The sequence below is a fragment of the Homo sapiens genome, chromosome 3 (genome assembly GCF_000001405.40).
Source record: "Homo sapiens chromosome 3, GRCh38.p14 Primary Assembly".
NCBI lineage: Eukaryota > Metazoa > Chordata > Mammalia > Primates > Hominidae > Homo > Homo sapiens.
In genome coordinates, this window is record NC_000003.12 from 150,302,150 (window position 1) to 150,326,883 (window position 24,734).

A 24,734-nucleotide genomic window follows, 5' to 3' on the forward strand; every position below is an offset into this window, starting at 1 on the left:
GGAACCTGAGGTCAGATTTTTAAAAAGGAAGCTTGACCCACATGGATGGTGTAACATGGCTTCACTACAGTAAATAGTAATTCATCAAAGTAACAGGTGAAATGATATAACACAGCTTCTAGGACATTCACAGACATAGGCTTTGTGTTTTTTATCCATACTCAGATTTTCCTTAACCAATTGAACATTCCAGTTCTTTCTTAGCTTCTTAATCCCTTAGCCTACTCTCCATGATATTTCTACTCTTCTGCTTAGTTCTCTGATATTTTTGGCAACACTGACTAATTTCCTTCAGAGACCATTGAAGGCTATTAAATGTCTGTGCCAGAAACTCCTCCAATGCACATGTCATCAAGGCATAGAGAGGTATATTTGCAGTGGACAGCCCCTCCACCCCCTCAAACAAAAGGAGAAAGTCCTCTAACAAACCAAAATATTGGTGGCTGATAATCTCAGCCCAATTTTTTCATCATCTGGGTTTTTTTTTTTTTCCTGTTCTCTTAATTAGATGGAGCCACACACTATGGCATGTTGTAAAAGAGTTTCTGAAGGGCAGAATTTGTGGCAGAGAGAGAGAGTTCCAAACTGGAAGACTCAAGAAATAAACAAAGATACCACAAATGAGAACAGATAAAATGTTCACATTCTAAATCTTTTTTTGAAAGAAAGAAACAATCCTCAGAAGTAAAAATAATTATCATTAGTGGCAAAAAGCAAAACATACACACACAACAGATAAAGGAGATTAGACACTAAAACTGGGAGCAAAAAGGCAGTGGAAATAAGTGCAAAAGTACACATAGAAAATGTTGTAGTAAAGAGAATGAAATAAGAAAGGCATCAGATTGAACCAAAAGAAAGGCAGTGAAAGGAGGATTATAAAAAACTAGAAACAGAAGTCAGAAACAAAAGGGAATTGAAAACTTCAAAATATAGGCACTTAGAAGATGAAAGGATAACTGGAAGAAATGTAAAGACGGGGAGTGGTTCAATGGGGTCTAAAATAATTCTTAATCTCACCTCCCCATCATATATAAAAAGAAAAAATAATATTTTGCATAGAATAATACTTGCAGTGGAAGTTTCAGAGTTACACCTGTTATATGTTTGCATACTCACTGAGCTACTTCTTTCCTTAATTGAAGTTTCACAGAAAAATTATTCCTCCTGAAGAAATCTTTGACAAGAGATTATGGCAGTATCTACCGTTTACATCAGGAAAATTATGCTACTTTTGGGAAAACCAAGGATTCTCTATTTTGGGGGGTGGGGTGGGGAAAAATCTCACCACGGCTGCCTGGAATGAGACAAAAAAATAAATTGCTTTTACTAGGGTTCAGCACATGCTAATCCCACCATCAATTTAGTTAGTCTGTCTTTCTGTAGCAACATTCACTCTGAGGCATCTGCATAGGGTCTTGGTGTCATCAGTGTAACTAGGGTTGGTATTACCAGTTGTTGTCTGGATACGCCCTGTATGTCTGTAAGGTCTGAAGCTAGTGGGACAGGACAAACTCTATAGTTTAGGTTAGGACATCAGAAGAGTACGGAAGGCAATCATTGGCATGCATGGGACACTAAGGGAAATGCTTCTTTAGATAAATGTCTTCCTTCTCTCCCACTCATTTCAACTTCACCCATTCTACACACTAAAACGCAGGGTACTGCTGCAGTTCAAATCTACCCACAAGATGAATAACTGGAATGCATAATCATTGAGTAAAACCAATCATGCCACATTTGGGGACGCTGTAGCCTCAGTTTAAGGTTCATACTCAAAGTTTTGATGATGCCAGCATAGGTCTTGTGACTGCATGGTAAATGGTGGCCTCTGGGGGCAGCAGAATGGCCAGGATGTTAGGCTTCACTAGTTCAAGCTTTAGGTTGTTTTCCACTATGGAAATGGGAGGCTTATGGGAAATCCCTAAGGCTCTGGCCAACAGCAGGGCTTAATAAAATTTGGCTAGTGAAATTAATAAATGAATATATGATTTTTATATCTTCTCCCGAAGCATCAGCTAATTGCAGTCAGCTCCCTCATCTCCTGACCACCCCCAGTCCACTACAGTAGAGTCAGCACATGCAATAATCTAAAGACAGTAATATTTTTACTTGCTACTCCTGCATTTATCACTTTCTCTTACCATTTGATAAAATCATTCTATATGAAGTATGAGGGACTTATGTGTGTCCTTCATGTATCTTTTTTTAAAGCAGTTTTAAGTTCATAGGAATATTCAGCAAAAGATACAGAGCGTTCTCATATGCCCCCCACACATGAACAGCCTCCCCGACTATCAAAATCCTGCACCACGGTGGCACATTTGTTATAATCAATGAACCTCCATTGGCACATCATTACTACCCAAAGTCTACCATTTACACTAGGGTTCACTCTTGGTACTGTACAGTCTATGGGTTTTAACAAGTGTATAATGGTATGTATACACTGCTATAGCATCATACAGAATAATCTCACTGCCTTAAAAACCCTCTGTGCTCTGCCTATTCATCACTTCCTCCTCCTAACCCCTGGCAACCACTGATCATTTTACCGTCTCCATCATTTTGCCTTTTCAAACAAGTGACATAGATGGAATCGTACAATATGTAGACTTTTCAGATTGGCTTCCTTCACTTAATAATATGCACTAATGTTCCTCCATGTCTTTTCATGGCTTGATAGCTCATTTCCTTTTAGTACTGAATACTATTTCATTGCCTGGATGTACCACAGTTAAATTTTCTGTTTGCCTACTGAAGGACATCTTGGTGGCTTCCAAGTTTGGGCAATTATAAATAAAACCTGTATAAATTTTAACTTCTTTGGGTAAATACCAAGGGGTGCAATTCCTAGATCTATGGTAAAAATGTTTGGTTCTGTAAGAAACTGCCAGACTGTCCAAAGCAGCTGTATCATTTTGCATTCCCAGCAGCAATGCATGAGAGTTCCTGTTGTTCCACATCCTTTCCAGCATTTGGTGTTGTCAGTGTTCTGGATTTTGGCTGTTGTGATAGGTGTGTAATAGTGTTGTTGTTTTTATTTGCAATTCCCTAGTGACATATGATGTTGAGCATTTTCTCATATGCTTATTTTCCATCTGTACCTCTTCCTCGGTGAGGTGTCTGTCCATGTCTTTTACCCATTTTTTTATTCATATTGTTTTCTTATTGTTGAGTTTTAAGAGTTCTTTGTATATTTTGGATAACTGTTATAGATTTTTCTCAGATATGTCTTTTGCAAATATTTTCTCCCAGACTGTGTCTTGTCTTATCATCCTCTTGATCTTCATGTATCTTCAAATGGGAGCAACAGAAGAGACTGCTTAATCCAAAGCAGGGTTTCTAAACCTCAGTCTGCACTATGGGCACTTTGGGCTCGATAATTTCTTTGTTGTGGGGGACTGTTCTGGGCATCGTAGCATGTTTAGCAGCATCCCTGTTCTCTATCCATTAGATGCCAGGGACAGCCCCCCTCCCAGTTGTGACAATGAAAAATATTATTAGGCAAATATCCCCTGGTGGCAAAATTATCCCTGGTTGACAATTTCTAATCCAAAGGAATGAATCTGTAATGGTGAAATTTAAGACATCAGTAAGGAAAGGGAGGTGCAGAAATATTTTGGCTCAACATCCTTTCCAGTCTACCAGCAATTGCAATGGTAGATTTGAAATAATCTGAGCCCGTTAGGTATGGTGATTATGCATTCTAATTTGTCTAGTATGTATTTACACCTATAGTCCTGGCAAAATTATTCATTGTGCCTTCTTTTTCTCTCAATTTTTCATTTATGATCTCAGTTTAGATCATAAATGAAAAGTCCATCTGGAACCTCTAAGAACTGTAATTTGAATTTGTGCTCCCTTTCATGGTCCTCTGGACTGGGGTGTCTGAGATAGTAAGCAGTTGATGGGTGTAGCCACAGATCTGGTCATTCGTATGCTTTATATTCATGTGCAGTTCCGTGGAGCAATGGAGAATCAGAAACTTCCAGAAAGTCTTGGCTGTATATTTTACATGGCACTAGAGTAAAAGACAAAAGAAAGAAGAGTGCATCAAAGCATTTTGTGTGTGTCTGATTTAATGAGTACTCATCAATGCCTAGATTCTGATTTCCTTCCTTGTGTATGAGCAGCAAATTCACCATGGTGTAACTCTACACAGTGTGAAGGAACAATTACTGTGTGATTTTAGCAGCTGTTGAAATCTGTAACATTAGACTATGTACATTTTTCTCCCGTTTATATCAGAATATAACATAGGTCAGAGGCAGGACAGGAATAAAGCAAGTGGCTCAAAAAGTTCTTGTGTATTAATTTCAGGTATATTTATTTGCAGGAATTGCCCTCTTTTAATTTTTATTTTTGGAGTGCAAAAATCAGACAATAACATTACAAAATGCTCTTAAACATTAGCACTTTTTTCGTAAATAACTGAGAGCTATTATTATTGCTAAACTCAGGATTGCTACTATAGCCAAACATAAACCCTGACTTTTTGACAGCCAAAGCAAAGAATAAAATAAGAATGAAAAACTAGTCACTCATCTGTGTTTATGATATTAAAGTTAAAGGAAGCCTGTTAGTTAATCAGGAGGGCACATTTCTGTTTTTCTAGCTTGAGTAATCTAACATTACTTTAACAAAGGCTTATTTACTAGACGGGACATTAAAAGGAAAAATGAGCAGTATCTTTAAAAGTAGTTTTACAAAAATTGCAGAAATATCTTCCTGTAGATACAGTAAATTCTTATATTGTTCCCAATAAGCACCAAGAGCAGTGTGCAAAAGCCTAGTGATCACAGGTAATGGGACCGAGTAGTGACTACGTCCAGCACTACAATAAGTGCTTTGCCTGCTTTGACTCATTTGATATTTACAAATAACTTATGATGTAAAGGTAGGATTCAAATGCAGGAAGTATGCTCTGGAGCCCATGTCTTGGGCATTGCTACTAGATGCTAAGGTGACCTATGGAATTCAAATGCGTCACTTCCTGGTGCTGGGACTTGCTGCAGGGTCAGAAATTATTGATGCTAGAGAAGTAAATTGTTAGCACACACTACAGATTCTTTTTCTAGATTCTAGAATTTCGATGCTCTCAAATACTTTTGTGAGAGTAGGCGCTAGCTGAAAATTCAAGGGTAAACTTTCTGGTATTCACCTAAATTGCGTGTTTAATTGGATTTTCAATTTAGAGTCAGAAGGCATTGGTTCTGACTTTGGAAGACTTCTAGAGGCTCTTGAAGAGGGGCGTGTGTGTCAAGAAGGCTGTTTGGACATCACACAGCTCTTATGAAAGAGGGCTTTCCTAAATTAAGTGTAAATGAGGTAGAAACATAAGGATTACATTTCTTTTGAAAGCAAGGATTTAAAAAAGCAGAACAATTAGTGCGGGAAGGGATATATGCTACCCCATATGACTGGGTCATGTCCCACTCCCGAGACAAAGTCTATTTGAGTTCTCTTTTAGCTGTGGCAGAGGGAAGGCCTGCCAGGCTAAGTGAAATTCCAGGACACAAAGCTGATGAAAGTAGCAAAAGAGAATCATGAGCAATAAAATGAAATTGTAAAAATTTGGTAGGAAGCCTTAAGTGTCGTTAGATATCTACCTGCTATGAATGGAGTAAAGCTATATAAATTGTGGGTGTGGGAACAGCCCTCTGGTTTCTGGCTGTTTTGGTGGTTGAATGCCAACTCTGAGAAAAGCAGGCTAAGGTGGAAAGGGCAACTCTCCTCCTTAAATATCCCAAATCCTCTTCCTTTGCTGTAGCACATGGAAAAATGTTCACATTATGCTGAACTACTTTTCTGTTTATCCTCCAAATTAGCTGTGAATTCTTTCCTTCCAACTTTAAGTCTTCCTAGGCCTCTCAGTTCCGCTTGTCTTCTTGGATTAGATTCTCTTCAAGGCCAGGACCCCTGGAATCTTAGCTTTATTTCCGAGGTAATTTCTGCCGGAAGGCAAAGTTTGGCACGTCAGCTTTTAATATACGCTGTGGCAGTTGGTGGAGGCAGGGAGGAGGGAAAGGGAGAGGAAGAAGAACACAATTCTGCTAGCCTTGGAAATTCAACTGGAACTTATGTTAGTTACATTTTTGAAACTTATTTATTATCCAGACATATGACAAACTCCAGTGAAGCACTAAGACTTCATACAGTAAACTTTGGAAGACGACCAAAACTCAAAAAACCCTCTTCAGCAGCAGGGACTCCAGAATGTTCCCCTGAGACTTTGAGGCTTTTTCAGGTAGGTGGTAATTGAAGAACATAAAGAGGGTCAATATGGGATGTGAGCACTGGAGTTCTCTCTCGTGTTCCTAGAGCCTCAGAATGTAGACTTGGGCTGGTAGAGGAACGGCAGTGGCGAGAGCCTGGCGAAGGCTTGGCAAGGACATGAGACTCCCAAGGAGACCTTGAATTCCTAAACAATGAATGGTCTGAGGTTAAAGATAGGATTTATAAGGGAAAGAAATGGAGCGCTAAATCAGGCTTGTCAAAGCTGAGTCCCACCCAGGGGCAGCACCCAGGTTGCATCTCAGCTGTCATCAAAGTAGGATCTAATCAGTGGGGCAAGGTCAGCAAGGATTTGGTGAGGAGGACGTGGAAGCCTCCCGTGGATTGCATTCAGGCCGGCATACTCACCAAGGCAGATGACGTGCATGAGATCTTGGTGACATTTGCTCAGGTGAAAAGTGCAGGGTGTGGTGTTATCTACGCTTTGTTTGGCTGGGCAGTCATAATTCTTCCGACATTACAGGAGCTTGAGTGTCAGATAGCTTGGTTAGGAAAGCTAGGGGATGCAGCTGCCCTGTGTTTGGGAATGTCTTTAAGGGTCATTCTAACTGCTATTGAAATATAGGACCGGGAAAATGTTCATTTGTACCCATTGTACAGTCAGTTAAGCATCAGAAACAGGATTATTCTGAGTAAAAATTAAAGCCTCATGACTAACCTATGGTAGATCTCTGATGACTAAATTTTTTTCCCTTCCATTATTTAGAGAAGTTTTTTGTTTGTTTACATATATTAAATTAACTTTTGGGGGGGGGTGTACAATTGTGAACGTCTTAAATGCATAGTCATGTAACCATCACCACAATTAAGACACAGAACAATTCTCTCACCCCATGTCCCTGATGCTTCCCCTTTGGAGTCAAATTCTTCACCCACCCCCAACCCCTGGCAACTCCATCCTATAGTTTTATCTCCTCCAGAATGTCATATAAATTTAATTTTATATTATGTAACCTTTTGAATCTGGCTTCTTTCACTTAGCATAATACATCTGAAAATAATCAATATTGTTGTACATACTGTTGAGTCCTTCCTTATTGAATAGTATTCCATTGTATGAATGGATCATGGTTTGCTTATCCATCCACCCATTGAAGGCCATCTTAATAGTTTTCAGTTGTTGGCAATTATGAATAATGTTGCTATAAACATTTGGATACAGATGTTTGTGTGAACTTGAATTCTCATTTCTCTAGGGTAAGCACCTAGGAGTATAACTGCTGAGTCATCTGATTTGTGTATGTTTAATTTCGTAGGAAATTGCCAAACTGTTTTTCAGAGTGCCTGTACCATTTTGCATTCCTACCAGCATTCCATACATTCCCAATGTATGAAAACCCAGTTGCTCCATATCCTTGTCAGCACTTGAAAATGTCAATTTTGTTTTTATTTTTAGCCATTTTAATAAGCGTGTAGTAGTATCTCATTGTGGTTTTAACTTACATTTCCCTAGTGACTAATATACTCCAGTACTGTTTCATGTACTAATTTGCTGTCCGTATATCATTTTTTTGTGAAGCATATGTTTAAATATTTTGCTCAGTTGTATTGGGTTGTTTGTTTCCTTTTTTTTTTTTTTTTTTTTTTTTGGGACAGGGTCTTGTCACCTAGGTTGGAGTGCAGCGGTGTGATCTCAGCTCACTGCAACCTCTGCCTCCCAGGTTCATTCTCATGCTTCAGCCTCCCGAGTAGCTGGGATTACAGGCCACAGTGCCCAGCTAATTTTTGTATTTTTAGTAGAGACAGGGTTTCACCATGTTGTCCAGGCTCATCTCGAGCTCCTGGCCTCAAGTGATTCGCCTGTCTCAGCCCCACAAAGTGCCGGGATTACAGGCATGAGCCACCGTACTTGGCCATTTTTTGTTGTTGTTGTTGTTGTTGAATTTTAAGAATTCTCTATATATCCTGGATACAAGCTCTTTATGAATATATGATTTCTGAAAATGTTGTCTTAGTCTGTAGCTTGTCTTTTCATTCTCTTTAGAGTGTCTTTTACAGAGCAAAGTTTTTAATTTTCATGAAGACCAGTATATCCATTTTTTCTTTTGTGGATCATGCTTTTGGTGTTTTATCTACGAACTCTTTGCCTAGCCCAAGTTCATGAATATTTTCTCCTATGTTTTCTTCTAAAAGTTGTATAGTTTTACTTTCTACATTTTGATCTGTGACCCATTTTGAGTTAAAACATTTTTTCAAACTTTTTGATGGTTACTTGTTAATTGAAACCACCATGCCCATTTACGTTTGGTCCTTGGTGTATAAACTTAGAGCTACAAGATATTTTTATCAGAGGTATATCCAGCATTTGACGTTCTTTAATCAATCAACAAATATTTATTAGCCATGGCATTTCACTTTCATTACTACATTCTGAGCACTTTAGAACAATCCTGGTTGGACGTCCTGTACTCCCAGCTCACATCCCTGGATTTCATAGTCCTCACAATTATTTCCATGGAACCAAAGTTACTTTCATTAGCTCCTACTGACAGATATATAGTCAAGGAGTTTGGAGTCCAAAGAGGGGAGTAAACTGTCTTGTATCTATTCCCAGGAAAATTCAACTGATTTTCCTCCTCGACAAAAAAAGACTTCATGTACACAAGCAAAGTGAAGAACAAAATGAAAATAATTGGTTGGATAATTGAAACTTCAAAAGTTCTGCCAATCCTCTTCATCTTGACTTCATGGATATTAGAGTTTTACATAGAGCTGAAAGCAGCTTAGAGGTCACCTTGTCTTAGTCCTTCATTCGACCACTTAATCAAGTCAACAAATATTATTATTGAGACCTCCTGTGAACCAGAGGCTTAGTATATGCCAGATGAGAAAATCAAAGTTCAGCAAAATGAGGGCAGCTGCCCACAGCCCCAGGCTTATCCAGAGGGCCCTGAAGTCATGGTTCTAGAATTTCTGAATTTCTGCCTCCAGCAGCCTCTCCACATGTCTCCAGAGCCTCCAAAGTTCATAGCTTCCTGGTCTCTTCTCTCCATGAAGCAGTCCCAGCCCCATTACTGATTGTAGGACATGTGTGTCTTTCAGTTCCAAAAAGTAAACTATAGTTTTCAGGAAAGTGGATTTGGGAAAAGAAGCTGGTTTAGGAAATGAGTTTTAAAAGTTTTGAAAGGGAGAATTGTGATTTGGAGGAGGAGGTAACTAGAAGGGCCAGGGGGTGAGGTCTGGAAAGGGAGATTAAAGAAGAGAGGCTATGATTTAGGGACTTTTTCAGAGGAGGGTCTAGAGTTATTGAGTGGGGAATAGAAGAAAGAAGGCTGTGGTTTGGAATAAGGGGATCAAAAGAAAAATTAGAACAAAGAAAAGTAGTTTGAAGAAATGATCTCTGGATTCGGGCCACAATTTACTTGTCTTGGACTCTAGGTCACATATAAAATACATACATTTCAAAAATGTACCCAAAAGAACAAAAATACAGTTTTGAATATTATACAGTGAGTATTTTTAAACAATAAATCTGAATGTTTCCTTCTTTGAAATAAATATTTAGGTAACATTCTGATGCATTGATTGTGTAAGATTGCCCAGAGTTTAGAGTTTTTTCTCTTCTGATTGTGGCAGGGTGAAAATCCTGCCTTTTTCAAGATAGCCCTGAGCACAGCAGTGCACATGTGAGACCTGGAATCCTCCCTGTAAAATAACTGCCCAACCTGACACATGCAGGTGGCAGCTGAACCTTGTTTGTACAGGGAATGTGGGGGCAATGCCTGCTCTTAGATTAAGAAACTACCAAACAGAAACCCAGAAATGGATCCACTTCAGAGACTGCAAAAAGAGCAAGCTGGCCAAGAGCAAGCTAGTCCTCAAAGAGTGTAAAAGGTTTTTGAGAGCTAAGCCAGAGTGAAGCCCTAGAAAGACTTCCACATTCATTGGTAGAGAAGAAAATATTTGAAACTTCATTCACTCAAGTGGGTACTCCTGTGTATTTATTTAAGATGCCTATGGGTAAATAAATGTTTTTAGCAGCATTATTCATAATAGCCAGAAGGGGGAAACAACTCAAATGTCCATCAGCTGATGAACAGATCAACAAAATGTGGTATATCCATACAATGAAACATAATTTGACCATCAAAAGGAACGAAGTTCTGATATGTGCTACAACATGGATGAACCTTGAAAACATTATGCTAAGTGAAAGAAGCCAGACACAAAAGGCCACATATTGTATGATTCCATTTATAATAAAATGTCCAGAATAGGCAAATCAGTAGAGTCAGAAAGTAGATTAGTGCTTGCCAGGGTCTAGGGAGAGAAGATAGACTGTTAATGAGTATGAAATTTCTTTTGGGGATGATAAAAAATATTCTGGAACTAGATAGTGGTGATGGTTGCTCTGATTGTGCACTTTTAAAATACAAACAACAAAAAAAAGATACCCATGGATATATATCTCTTTCTATAGTTAAAACAAACCCTGTTAGTTCTGTAGCTGGCACTTTCCCTGCACAGGTACAGATGGTGTCGCCGGGCTCCTATCTCCACCTTACCCTCCAACCAGACAGGAGCAGGTAATGTCTCCCAGCTCCACACTTTTAAGCTAATACATCCACTGATATCCCCCTCCCCTTTCCTGCCTCTCACAGTCCTTGATCCTCTTGAATGCCACCCACTCCAGGAAATATTTTCCTCCTGTAAGTCTCCTCTGTATGCTCAGACTTTCTGTAGACACTTCTCCCACAACCCACGGCTAACTTCTTCCAATATTATGGGATTTGTGACCTATGCAACCCTTACTTTGCCTTGCCTTGGAAGCCAATTGAGTCACAACACTTGTATTTTCCATGCTAGTGCATAGCCTGGCACATGATAGGAACTGAATAGAGTGGATTCAAGTGGGCATAAAAAGCCACACTAGTCCTGGCCCAACTCACCTTCTCTACTGTTTCCGATTATAGGCGGATCCTTGTTTCTGTCCCTCAACCCCTTACAGTTTCAATCCCCACAGGAGCAGTGTGGGGTCTCAGCACCAACTACATCCCTCACTCTACCCAAGGCTCCCTCAGCCTCTTGGAGCACATAAAACTCCTTCTGATAGATACTCAAGTTCTATGGCTAACTCTGAAAATAATGAAACCTCTTTCATTCTGTTCTTTGAGCACTAACACTAGGCCATGCACCCGGCTGCAGAGCATCATTCCCCTTTTCTCACATGCCTCACCATCCACTGGTCCCCATCACAGCCAAGGCACTTATGAATGACAGAAAGCAGCAAGGCTTGTTGGAGAGGGAGAAGGGGTGAGGTTAGAGGCAGGAGCAGCAGAATCCCTGCAGCAGATCCAGCTCACCAGGCCTGATAGAGATGTCAATGGGCAAGAGGCCGTCTCTGCTACACGCATATCCCTATTTTGTGGGCAAGGGCGTTCCATCACCATAGTTTACTTTTCTCATTTATTGGTTCCAACCTGGATTAAAAAGCTAAACCAAAGGGTGTGTAAATAATTTTATCCTAATTTACAAAGTTTGAATTTACATTTCCCTTGTTATGGAGGCAAATTATTGAAAACTGAATCAGATATGGAGGGCAAGGGAGCACTCTATTAAAAATAACCACGTGGCGAATCTATTTGTAAAATGAATGGTCACATCATAGTTTACTTGTTTTTAAGTTGAGGATTTTTGTGCACTGGGTTGTCTTCTAAAGAGGTAAAAATTTTTGTTAGAGATATGAGGTAGTCTTTGAAAAATAGCTCTTTTCTTATTACAAAAGAAACAGATGTTCGTATAGCATAAGTGTTTTAAAACACAAAAGAAAATACTTGTAAGAATCTGTTATGCCTCAGTCATGGAAACCACTCAAATGATATCTGAATGAAGAATAAAATGAAAGAGAAACCCCCCATATTCCACCATCTAGAGGTAACCACTGTTAACTTGGCGGTATCTATCCTTCTAATATTTTTCTGTGCATATTTCAAGTGTACTGCTGTTTTATATGCTGTTGTTTTCACTTGACAAGGTGTCATAAACATTTTCCAGATCACTAGCTGGCTGCAAGGTACTCCCTGCTCAGCTGGATCAAATCTAACTGTATCTCAAATGCTGACCCACAGGCGTCCTAGCCAAAAGAATGGGAGGGAGCATTCTGAATTAAGCCCCTTTAAATGGATTGAAAATTACACTACATTAACACTTTTTTGTCCCACCCAAAAGTATTAAGCTGTCAGAGAAAAATTCACAGCCCTAGCAAAAGGACTGCTAGAGCCAGGCTGTGAACACAGTCCCAGCAGCAGGGCGTGTAGCCTGTCACCTGTCACCTGCCCTGCTCTACCTGTTGGGTGACCTAGCTTTTTCTTTTTTTTTTTTTCCTTTGCTTTGCTGTTTTTTTTTTAGACTCAGAAGTTCCTTTAAGCCTCTGGCCGTTGGAGGAGCTGATGGCAGCTTGACTGGGCCTCTGCCAACCATGAGGAAAGAAAAAGTCCCATTCATATTGTCCCTTATCACTGGGGGCTGAACCCCATAGATAAATACTGGTTTCCTCCCTCACTATGTGTCACGGATTACATACTCACAGTGTTTCAACTGAACTCTGTGATTGAGAGGGGACAGTTCTTTCCCAGAAGCACTAAATCTGCTTTGGGGGTCCCGCAAGGGGGCTCAAAGACTGCAGTATGCCAAGCAGGCTGCTGGGTCCAGTCTTTCATGTTATTCTGTTACTAGGTATATACAGTTTAATGTGTATACCATATGCACAGGAGGCATGCAACTCAAAGCTATCTTTCCAGGGTGATGTTCAGAAATAGTTTATATTCATGGATAAAGAGAAGAAAAAGAAGCTACAATAAATAAGTGGATCTAGCCTGCTCCTTGAGTATATTAAGGGTTACGATTTCCTTAGGTTTGGTTAGGTTTTCCTTATGGGAGCCAAACATCTTGGTTACTGCCATTACTAGCGATGTGACCATGGGCAAGCTCCTTAACTTCTTTATCACTCAGGTTCCTCAACTTTATAATAAGGATAATAACTACTAGTCTATATTTCAAAGTGGATGTTTTCCGTATTGAATTATGCAATGTGTACAAACACTCAGCACAGTAGTTAGCCATAAGCACTCCATGAATGTTAACTATTATTATTGTCATTGTAATTGAGCTCTTTGTTTTCTTATAATGGTAAATTATGGGTGTCTTATGATTTGGGATTTCACCTCAGGACATATATCTTCTAGAGAAAAACACATAGACTATATTCAGTTAACCAGGGGATCATCCTACAGACAGGTGAGAAGGCATAGACTAGTTTCTGTGACATAAACTAGAAGAGAATTAATGAGGTGGTTGAGACCAGTCCAATGTTATTTGTAAACTGACCCAGTTTAGCAGTTTAATAAGAGGCTTGATTCTGAGGCTTAAATGAAATTTAAGAACTACTTGTGGCTTTGCTTTACCAACCCAGTTTTTGTTGCCCCAGTAACTCAGAATGTCTTGCTCCAGAGCTGCTGCCAGCCTCAGAGAATGTGGCAAATAGTCGTTGCTGACATGCATATCCTCCCCTCTCCTCTTTCTAGCACACACATCTTATGCTGCCCACCCACCTGATGCTCTGTTCTTACCAGTCCTACCAGTTCTCATTTTGCCTGAGAACTTCAGGGACTCAACAGCTGGGCCCAGGCTGAATTTGATATTACTGTGACTTGGCAACTTCATGTTAGTAGATCCAAACTCCCCATGCAGTCAAGGGCAGGGATGGTCCTAGATTCTGATGGTTTTAGAGCTGCCAGAAGGAGCATGAGAACTGTGGTCCATACTCATCCTGCCCTCACTTTCCTTCTGAGTGAATCCAAAGTCACAGAAAGCAAAGCAAAAATAATTCTCCTTGTTAAATACTGATCTAATTTATTAGAGCCCATCCAGAATATACCTGCCAACTGTCAGAGTCAGGAATTATTTAGTGGAATTTTAGAATCCCTAACAAGAGCTAGTCTCTCATTCTCTCCTAAAATTTACATTCCTGCCATCGCCAGAAATAAAAAAAAAAACAACACACAAAAAAAGCCATAGCCAAGCATGGTGGTGTGTGCCTGTAAGTCTCAGCTACCCTGAACACCGAGGTGAAAGGATCACGTGAGCCCAGAAGTTTGAAACCAGCCTGGTCAACTTAGCCAGACCCCATCTCTAAAAAAAAAAAGAAAAAAAAAAAGTTTAAAGCCTACATTCATAAACTCATGTGTCTTATTATAAAGGTATCCCCAAAAGATAATTTTGTTACCTTGGAAACTTCAGGTAACAATACTTCCCTTGGCAAGTCTGTCCTTTTCCTTTCTTCCTTCCTACCTTTGGGTGTAACCTAAACCTTTCCTGATGTTACTTAGGCCCATAGGATCAGCTCATGTTAAGATTTTTATGAGATCCTTGCCCAATCCATGCACATCAGTCCATCAACTCTATGCTCAGTATTTTCTATTTAAGTTGTTCACTGCTGACTGCTTTCACAGGCACACCGTGTGAGTTCTAGTTTAAACATTATAAAGTGGAGTGAGGATGTCTTCTTACATTGGAAGATGATCTACAACTTATCAAGTGCTCACCATTGAAATTGTAATTACTTCATGCCTCATTACAGATAACATGAAATATCTTGTTTAGCATCTATGGAACAGCAATAATTATATCTGCTTGAATATATCTCAGTTAGAGCTTTCCAAAAAAAAGATATTTAACAGTGGAACAATACTCAACAACTATAATAATTATAAACTAGATGTATCCTAGCCCTATTCTATTTCATTATTTGGCAGTATATGCATGAGTTCATTTTATGATTTTCCAAAATCTATCAATGATAAGGAAATTATTAGATTGCTTCTGAATTTTCAATTATAGTTCTTTTCCTAATGATGTGTATTCTCCTTGGATTCCTTAGCTCACCAAAACTTTTTTTCATCATAGCCAAATTCTGACAGAACTATGTTTGAACTATACTTACCCTTTAAATTCTAAGGCTAATTGTAAATTTTTCATCATCCTTTTAATATGGCAAACTTTATTGAGAGGTAAAGAATCAGTTAAATTAAAAAAATTTTAATTATGAATCATCAGGGCAGCTAAGACCTCAATAAACCATTTTTTACATGAATTTGGAAAGGAACTATTTCCTCCAAGCAGACTCTGCCCTCCCCTGCCTGCACCCAGGGTACAGGGCTTGGTGAGTGGAGCACAGACAGGATGTCAGTGCCCTTGAGTCCCCTTTGTAGAGCACAACAGCACAACCATGCCCAGCGGCTCTAGGAACAGTGTCAAAATTAGCTTTATTTACAAAGTTACTCATCTTTATTTACTAAGTTGATCCAACCAGTTCAAACACACTTCTAGGACAAAACCTAGAAATGAGCATACTGACCAGAACGTCAAAGTAAAGTTAAAGTAAAAAATGAATGAGGGGTATGGTAGAATCATGAGTTAGTTAAATTTATAAGGATAACTGAAAGAATAAAACCAAAATTAAGCTACCTACCTCTGATATGGAAGTCAATGGGCTATAGACACTTTTGCTTATCTCTTAAGTTAGTTTCATGGGACTTCTGGTTTGACTATTTTCTTTAAAAAAATTTATGGAGATAAAAATTGATAAAATCTTCTCACAGTATGGTTTGGAAGCAACTCTTAGAAATTTGAATGGGCAAATCTTCGGCCCAGCAATTTCATTCTAAATACCTGTCCTAAAGAAATACACATATTAACAAAGAGTACAAGGATTGTAACAATATTTCCAATAGCAAAAAAAAGACTGCACAAAAATTCATCAATAATGGGTTGATAAAAACAAATCTTTGTGTGCCCATATTGTAAATGTAATAATCATATGATTCTATTTGAACTGACAAGGAATAAGACCAAAGAAAATATACCAATGAAGCAAAAAAGGCAAATAGCAGAATAGTAGAAATCCCATTAATGTAAGAAAAATGCGTGTGGTAAATGTGCAGATATATGTATGTATGTGTAAACGCATAGAGAGGTATTTAGGAGGACATATTCCTAAGTGGTCATTGCTGAGGAAGAGTGTGAGATTTGAGGAGTTGGAACAGAGATGGGAGGGTAGAAAATTGGGAGAGGGGATTCATAAGGGACTTTTAGTTTCTGCTCTATATGCCTTTGCAATTTTTTAAACAATAAGCATGAATTACTTTTATAATTTAAAAGTAATTTTAAAGAATTTTAAAGATAAAAAAAAGAAAGAAAAATGATTACTCATAACTGCATCACCCAAACACAACAATTTTCATTTACATGTATTGCCTCCCAAGCTTTTAATATGAGTTTAAGTATGGGGAAAATATATAAAATTTCAAAATTACATAATAAGAATGTTGCTATATAGTCATTATAACTTTGAATTTTATATTTTTAATATAAACTACATAACTACAGTATATGAATTGCCATTTTGTTGCAAATAACTATCATCTGGTATTGATGCATATACATACAATTATTGTACCAGAATGTAATCAACCAAAGCAGTATGCTAGCTGCTTTGGACTTTATGCTCTTCTCATAAACAATGCAGAAAAAAATAGTTTATAAGGTATTCTCTCTTTGGATTATATCTTTAAGGAAAATTATAAGTTGCAAAGTGATCAAATTAAACAAGAATTTAAACATTGCATAACTCTTAATATACATTGCCAATTTTCTTTTCAAAAGTATAGTTTTAACCTTATTGCCACAAAAAGTGTATTAGTTTTACTTCATCTTCACTAGCATTGGGTATTAATTTTTTAACTACTCTGGCCAAGTACAACAATATATTTCTTGAATAAATTATAAATTTGAACATTTCCCTTGTGTTACAACTGCAGTTGACAGTTCAGGTCATTTTTGATTTATTTAACAATTTTGCTTTTACTAATAACAATAATAGGTAACTCCCATTGAGTGTTTATCAAGTTCTAGGCACTGTTCTAAGTATTTTACATATATATCACATCTAAACCTCACAAAACTCCAAAAAGTATTACCATAATAACCATTTTACAGATGGAGAAACTGGGACCCAGATAAGTTTATATCATAGGAAGTCTAACATCAAAGCTGAGGCTCTTACTGTCACCTCACTATATAGCTGTACATGAGTGTATTAAATAATTAAGATGTCATCCCTTTACCTGTCATACTTACCAAAAGTATTTTCCCAGTGTTTTGTATTTTTGTTGTTCTGGTGTTTTTATATGCAGAACATATTAATGTTCTTATAATCAATTGAGCTTTTTCTTCATTTTGTAATTATTTCTATCATTTCGAAGCTTATAAAGATGTCTCTGTTCCAGAGACTTGAGAAATTTTCAAATCTGTTTTCTTCCCATGTGTACATACATGTGTAGTATGTACAAATATATGTATGTGAATATATTAATGTATTTGTACGTGTGCATATATATACATAAACACAGACATATGCACATACTCTTTTTAACCCATGCAGACATTGTCTTGCTGTACAATAATACAAGGCATTTGGGGCTGTTTTTCTGACCCTGACACTGTTGCTGGGCTGAGAATTACTCTGCCAGTGTCCAGATGAGATACTGAGCCACCAGGATTTAAATCTTCAACTTACCTTTGCTCCAAGTGATATGATTAAGCAGAGATTACTTAACCCAAGCCCCAGTGAGTCATTCCAAACCCTTGAATCAGTCTGACAAATCCACAAAGCTTCTGTTGAATTACTGCCTTGGAGAATTCTTTGCCTGACTGGTTGAACACTGGATGACTGCAAGCCTGATGATTTATAGAAAGGCACAAGTCTGACCCAATGGGCACACCCATTGTATTTCTACAGAGAAGAAATATCTTTGGAGTTAAATTGGTAGGTCCCAAATGAATCAATAGAGCAGCACATGTGGTATGCTATCACTTGTGGAAGAGAAAATATATATCTTCTGTATATAGAAAAAAGGATAGATATAGATTAAGATATGGATATATAGATATGATATAGCTATATGGGAGGGTGAGGACTGGCTGAGACTTTTCATTATCCTTTCATAACTTTTTAAAATTTAATTTAATTTTTAATTTCAACTTCTATTTTAGATATGGGGTTATATGTGCAGATTTTTTACGTGAGAATATTACATGATACTGAGGTTTGGAGTACAAATCCTGTAACCCTCGTAGTGAGCATAGTACTTGATAGGTAGTTTTTTAACTTCACCATGCCCTCTAGTAGTCCACAGTCTCTACTGTTCCCATATTTATGTCCATGTATGCTCAAAGCTTATGTCCATGTGTTCTCACTTATAAGTGAGAACATGCAGTATTTAGTTTTCTGTTCTTGCATTTATTTGCTTACAATTATGGCCTGCAGCTCCATCCATGTTACAGCAAAGGACATGACTTTATTCTTTTTTTATGGCTGCATAGTATTCCATGGTATATATGTATCACATTTTCTTTATCCAATCCACCATTGATGGGCACCTGGGTTGATTCCATGTCTTTGCTATTGTGAACAGTGTAGCACTGAACACATGAGTGCATGTGTCTTTTTGGTAGAATGATTTACTTTCTTTTGGGTATATACCCAGTAATGGGATTGCTGGGTTGAAATGTAGCTCTGCTTTAAGTTCTTTGAGAAATCTCCAGACTGCTTTTCACAGTGGCTAGACTAATTTACATTCCCACCAGCAGTGTATAAGCGTTCCCTTTTCTCTGCAACCTCTCCAGCACCTGTTGTTTTTTTGACTTTTTAATAACAGCCATTCTGATTGAGATGGTATTTCACTGTGGTTTTGATTTGCATTTCTCTGGTGATTAGTGATGCTGAGCATTTTTTCATGTTTCTTGGTGACATGTATGACTTCTTTTGAGAAGTGTCTGTTCAGGTCCTTTGCCCATTTTTCAATGAAGTTATTTGTTTATTGCCTGTTGGTTTAAGTTCCCCATAGATTCTGGATATTAGGTCTTTGTCAGATGTATACTTTGCAAATATCTTCTCCCATTATGCAGGTTGTCTGTTTGCTCTGCTGATAGTTTCTTTTGCTGAGCAGAAGCTCTTTGGTTTAATTAGGTCTCACTTTTCTATTTTTGTTTTTGTTGCAACTACTTTTGGAAACTTAGCCAAAAATTCCTTGCCAAGGCTGATGTTGAGAAGGGTATTTCCTGGGTTGTTTTCCAGGATTTTTATAGTTTGAGGCCTTACATTTAAACCTTTAATCCATTCTGAGTTATTTTTGGATTATGGTGAAAAGTCAGGGTCCAGCTTCGATCTTCTGCATATAGCTAGCCAGTTATCCCAGCACCATTTATTGAATAGGGAGTCCTTTCCCCATTGTTTGTTTTTCTTGGCCTTGTCAAAGATCAGATGGTTGTAGGTGTGTGGCTTTATTTCTGAGTTTTCTATTCTGTTCCATTGGTCTATGGTCTGTTCCATTGGTCTGTGTGTTGTTTTTGTACCAGTACCAAGCTGTTGTGTTACTGTGGCTTTATAAGAGCCATCTATGAAAAACTGACAGCCATCATTATACCAAATAGGCAAAAGCTGGAACCATTCCCCTTGAGAACTGGAACAAGACAAGGATGCCCATTCTTACCACTCCTATTCAACATAGTACCGGAATTATTAGAGAAATCAGGCAAGAGAAAGAAATAAGAGGCATCCGAATAGGACAGGAAGAAGTCAAACTATCTCTCTTCACTGATGATATGATTCTATTCCTAGAAAATCCTGACGACTCTGCTAAAGGCTCGTAAAATTGATGAATGACTTTAGCAAAGTTTCAGGATACAAAATCAATGTACAAAAATCGGTAGCATTTCTATACATCAACAACATCCAGGCTGAGAGTGAAATCAAGAACACAATCCCTTTCACAATAGCCACAAAGAAAATAAAACACCTAGGAATACAGCTAACCAAGGAAGTGAAATAACCCTACAAGGAGAGCTACAACACGCTGCTGAAAGAAATCAGAGATGACACAAATAAATGGAAAAACATTCCACACTCATGGATTAGAAGAATCTAAATATTGTAAAAATGGCCATACTGTCCAAAGCAATTTACAGATTCAATGCTATTCCTATCAAACTACTAACATCATTCTTCATAAAATTAGAAAAAACTATTCTAAAATTCATATGGAACTAAAGAGCCCAAAGAGTCAAAGCAATCCTAAGCAAAAATGAAACAAAGCAAAAAACAAAAACAACAGCAACAAAAAAACAAAACAAAGCTGTAGGCATTAAACTATGTTTCATAATTTTGAATTTTGTTTCATGTGCCTGTATTACCTATTTATTAAAATTTTTATATCAAAAATAGTGAAGGTCAAGTTCAAGAATTTCACTAATAATACAGTAATATTTTCTAGTCACCTTATTGAGAGGTAACAGCATGCTGGCAGTCCTCACAGCCCTCGCTCGCTCTCTGCGCCTCCTCTGCCTGGGCTCCCACTTTGGCGGCACTTGAGGAGCCCTTCAGCCCACCGCTGCACTGTGGGAGCCCCTTTCTGGGCTGGCCAAGGCCAGAGCCGGTTCCCTCAGCTTGCAAGGAGGTGTGGAGGGAGAGGCGCGAGCGGGAACCCGGGCTGCGCGCGGCGCTTGCGGGCCAGCTGGAGTTCCGGGTGGGGGTGGGCTTGGCCGGCCCCGCACTCGGAGCAGCCGGCCGGCCCTGCCAGCCCCGGGCAATGAGGGGCTTAGCACCCGGGCCAGCGGCTGCGGAGGGTGTACTGGGTCCCCCAGCAGTGCCAGCCCACCGGCGCTGCGCTCGATTTCTCACCGGGCCTTAACTGCCTTCCCGCGGGGCAGGGCTCGGGACCTGCAGCCCGCCATGCCTGAGCCTCCCACTCCCTCCATGGGCTCCTGTGCGGCCCGAGCCTCCCCGATGAGCGCCACCCCCTGCTCCAAGGTGCCCAGTCCCATCGACCGCCCAAGGGCTGAGGAGTGGGGGGCGCACGGCACCGGGACTGGCAGGCAGCTCCACCTGCAACCCCGGTGCTGGATCCACTGGGTGAAGCCAGCTGGGTTCCTGAGTCTGGTGGGGATGTGGAGAACCTTTATGTCTAGCTCAGGGATTGTAAACGCACCAATCAGCGCCCTGTCGAAACAGACCACTGGGCTCTACCAATCAGCAGGATGTGGGTGGGGCCAGATAAGAGAATAAAAGCAGGCTGCCTGAGCTAGCAGTGGCAACCCGCTTGGGTCCCTTTCCAGTCTGTGGAAGGTTTGTTCTTTCGCTCTTTGCAATAAATCTTGCTACTGCTCACTCTTTGGGTCCACACTGCCTTTAAGGGCTGTAACACTCACCGTGAGGGTCCACGGCTTCATTCTTGAAGTCAGTGAGACCAAGAACCCACCAATTCCGGACACATTATGACCATTATTACAGGGTTGATCTCATAAAGGGCTAATAATTCCAAGGCAGTTTGGCAACATCCTTAATTACACAAAACTTAAATTTGTTGTGCTATGCAGCCCACCTGCAGTTTGCTGTCTTAGGAATCCAGTACTCTGCTTTGGCTGAAAGAAACTACATTTCCCAGGTTGCTTGGACCTCTGGTCCAGCTAGCTATAGCCAATGGAAGGCATGAGCACTAGAATGAGGGGTAAAAGGAAGAAAGAAGCCAGCGTATGTTTCTCTCTGTGTTCCCTGTGGTATTTCAAGCACCAGTAATGTCCCCTCTGTGGTCTCAGCTCCAACTGGAAAGTCTCTACTATGGTTCTAGTCCCCACAGAATGGCCCTGGGCTCTGATAATGCCACTTTCTGCTATTGTTCTTCCAGTCTTAAAGTGAGAGAAGGTTGCTAATCTCTGGAATTCTCCCTGCATTTCATGTTTGGCTTCTCTGCTCTTCTGTTTCATAGGTAACCAATTCTTTATGTCAAATTTACTGTCAGAAAAACCTGGAACGGCTTGTTTTTCTGGCCAGAGGGCCTGACTGATATACTTCACATTTTCTGTTTCTTGCTTTGAAACACCCTTCTCCATGAGAAAGAAAAACAGCTCAGTAGTTTTTCATATAACATCTGACCTTAGATTCACATTGCAGAACTCCTAACATACTAGCTTTACGTTAGTTTTTTGCACCCCGCCCCTATATTTCATAACTACCATTCTTTATCTTTGCTTAATGCTATAGATGCCTTTTAAAAGGACACTATTTGTAGATACATGCATAGGCATAATGGCCACTGCATTCTTTTCAAAACAAGAACACTTACCTACAGCATTAATTGTGGAAATTTCTCTGATCAAACTCCTGGGGCCAGAGGAGTTGCCCAAGCTGCCTGGGGCCACAGAAGTCACCCAAGCTGAGCTATTAGAGAAGGCTCATATTCAGAGTCTCTCTCCCACAGAGGTTTTAGGGGAAAATGACTGAGTGGTGCTCACGTGCAGACTCTACATTTCTCAGCTGGCTTTGTCTCAAGCTCTTCTGGTGTAAGAAATCAAAATCTCATTTCACTTGTTCCTCAGGAAAGACAATTATTCTCAACCAAGCCAGTGGCCTTTATTTAAAGGTCATGGGCTTATCTCTTGTCACCACAGAGTGCTCACCAGAGTTTATCCTAAGCCTAACTACTGCAGATTACACGTTCATGTGGGGTTTGCTAACACATTGTTCTAATTCATCTGAAATGATTGGGTTTTCTCAACTCATATGCATCCGAATCACACTCTGGCCTGGTGAGTGTTATCCTCCTTCATAATTACAGGCTGTGTCTCACTCATGGCTTCTGACTTATTCATGGCCCCTTACATCATGCTTTTCTGAACTCGAGTGGACTCCACCCCTTCTTACTGCCCCTGCACCTGTGGCCTCTTTTGTCCACCTGCTGCAGGTGAGAATGCACCTCCTTTCTTCCTTGACAATCCCCTTTTCTAATGCTGGCCTGATCCTTCTAACCGCTAATCACAGCAATGTGGAGCTAACCTAAACCCTGCGCCCCATCCCACCTCAGCTATAGAATCTGTCCCCATCCCCATCCCTCTACTTTTCGCTTTTGAGCCAGTCTTACCCATCCTTTCACCAATCCTGTTAATGTCCCACATATGGCCCCATCCTGCCACCCCAAAGGTCCTGTCCCTCTAACAACATGCCTTTGACTCTGACTGTTAAAGGTCAGGGTAACACCATCTCTGGCATGGGAACAATCATAGCTATTGAATGTCCCATCCCCCTACACTGGCTATGTTAGGGGCCTAGTGTCTATCTCTCTTAGTCCTTTAACTGCTCCCCAACAGAGCTTCAACTTCCTCTCACAAATCTCCCACCCATCCATCCATTGTTACCCCTGGCCTGACCCTGCCATAGCTATAGAGACAGATTTACCAAGGACACCAATGAAGCTTAAACTTCGGATGTCCTAGCTTGCACGGGCCCTTTGCAAGGTCTCATATCTAATTTTGTATTATTCTTCTTAAAGAGGGCCCCCCAAGTGGTCTAATCTTCAGGCCACTGCAAAGCCTGGACCTGCCCCTGCTTAGGTGGTAGCTCCCTTGATTATCTTGGAATTAGGGAAATGTTCCCACTCGCATTTCCATACTGCTTCCAGGAAAAATGTGCTTGTGGATAGAACTGAAATTGAACTTTGAATGCCCTCAACCTTAGAAACATTGTTAAACCTAGTGGTTAGTTTTAATTATAAGACAAGTGCTTGGTTTCAGCTGCTTTATAGGTTAAATAGGTTTTTTGCTGATCGGCTTTGGAAAACTACCATTGAACAAGTGACTTGTAAACAAACTTCTGGAATGTAAACCACTTCTAAATTGTAGGCTTCAGGGACTTTGCATTAACAAAAGCCCATAAACCACAGCATATGTACCCTATTTTATACCTTGTGTGGAAATTTATGTACAAATAGTGACATTTTGTCACATGAAAGAAATTACCCATTAAATTCAACCAAAAGTTGTAGTAATATGCAACTAGGCATGATTTATAACTATAGCAATCAGTCAACCTAGATTTTCTGAGGTAGTTCAATAAGAAATATTCTGCTCTATGATCACCGTGTGTGACTCCAGTTCATTGTCATATGCTCAGAAACTAATACAGTATCTGGCACACAGTAGGCATTCAAGCAATGCATTCAAAATTAATGATTGTGTAAGACTGTTTGGCAAACTATGTGCCCTGCTTTTGGTTTTAAAACTATGGTCACTGATTATAGTTATAATAAACATATACAAGCAATTTAATATTCCTTTTTATTATTTCTAAGTATACATTGCTAACTATATAAATTTGTATAATTTTTCAAAACTCACCTCCAAAATAAAATAGCTTGGATTTCAGTGGAAAATGTATACATTAATGATTCTATCCTCAGTGAAAAAAAATGCTTTACCAAACAGTTACAGAGCTTCTTACACAGAATACTACATGTTTTTTTGTATTCATTCAGAGGAATGCTTTTATATCAACTTGGCATGTAAATCATTTTATTTTTAAAGAATCAGTATGGTTACAGCATTCTAAC

The 24,734-nt window shown here is 39.4% G+C and overlaps 2 long non-coding RNA genes across 4 annotated transcripts in view, besides 1 other annotated feature; one reads left to right on the plus strand and one right to left on the minus strand.

Moving 5' to 3' along the window:
* The window catches only part of LINC01214 (long intergenic non-protein coding RNA 1214), a 58,341-nt gene extending 36,743 nt beyond the window's left edge, over window positions 1-21,598 (minus strand). Inside the window, exons 1-2 of one of the 2 annotated variants that reach the window (NR_110187.1) lie at window positions 21,562-21,598; window positions 6,091-6,424 (exon numbers count right to left, since the gene is read on the minus strand). This is a non-coding gene — a long non-coding RNA (long intergenic non-protein coding RNA 1214). Of the gene's footprint in view, window positions 1-6,090; window positions 6,425-21,561 lie in introns of those variants that run through there. The other variant, NR_110186.1, reaches the window with a different exon arrangement.
* Window positions 4,270-24,734, plus strand: part of LOC107986141 (uncharacterized) — a 46,871-nt gene continuing 26,406 nt past the window's right edge. For both annotated transcript variants that reach the window (XR_001740958.1, XR_007096127.1), the window contains exon 1: window positions 4,270-6,250. This is a non-coding gene — a long non-coding RNA (uncharacterized LOC107986141). The remainder of the gene's footprint in view (window positions 6,251-24,734) is intronic.
* Window positions 5,622-6,821: an enhancer, noted in NCBI's record as "MED14-independent group 3 enhancer chr3:150025558-150026757 (GRCh37/hg19 assembly coordinates)". NCBI's record gives its function as "activates an origin of replication core promoter dependent on BRD2, BRD4, P300/CBP and CDK7 cofactors, and independent of MED14, by STARR-seq in HCT116 cells {active_cell/tissue: HCT116}" and the evidence as "EXISTENCE:reporter gene assay evidence [ECO:0000049][PMID:35650434]".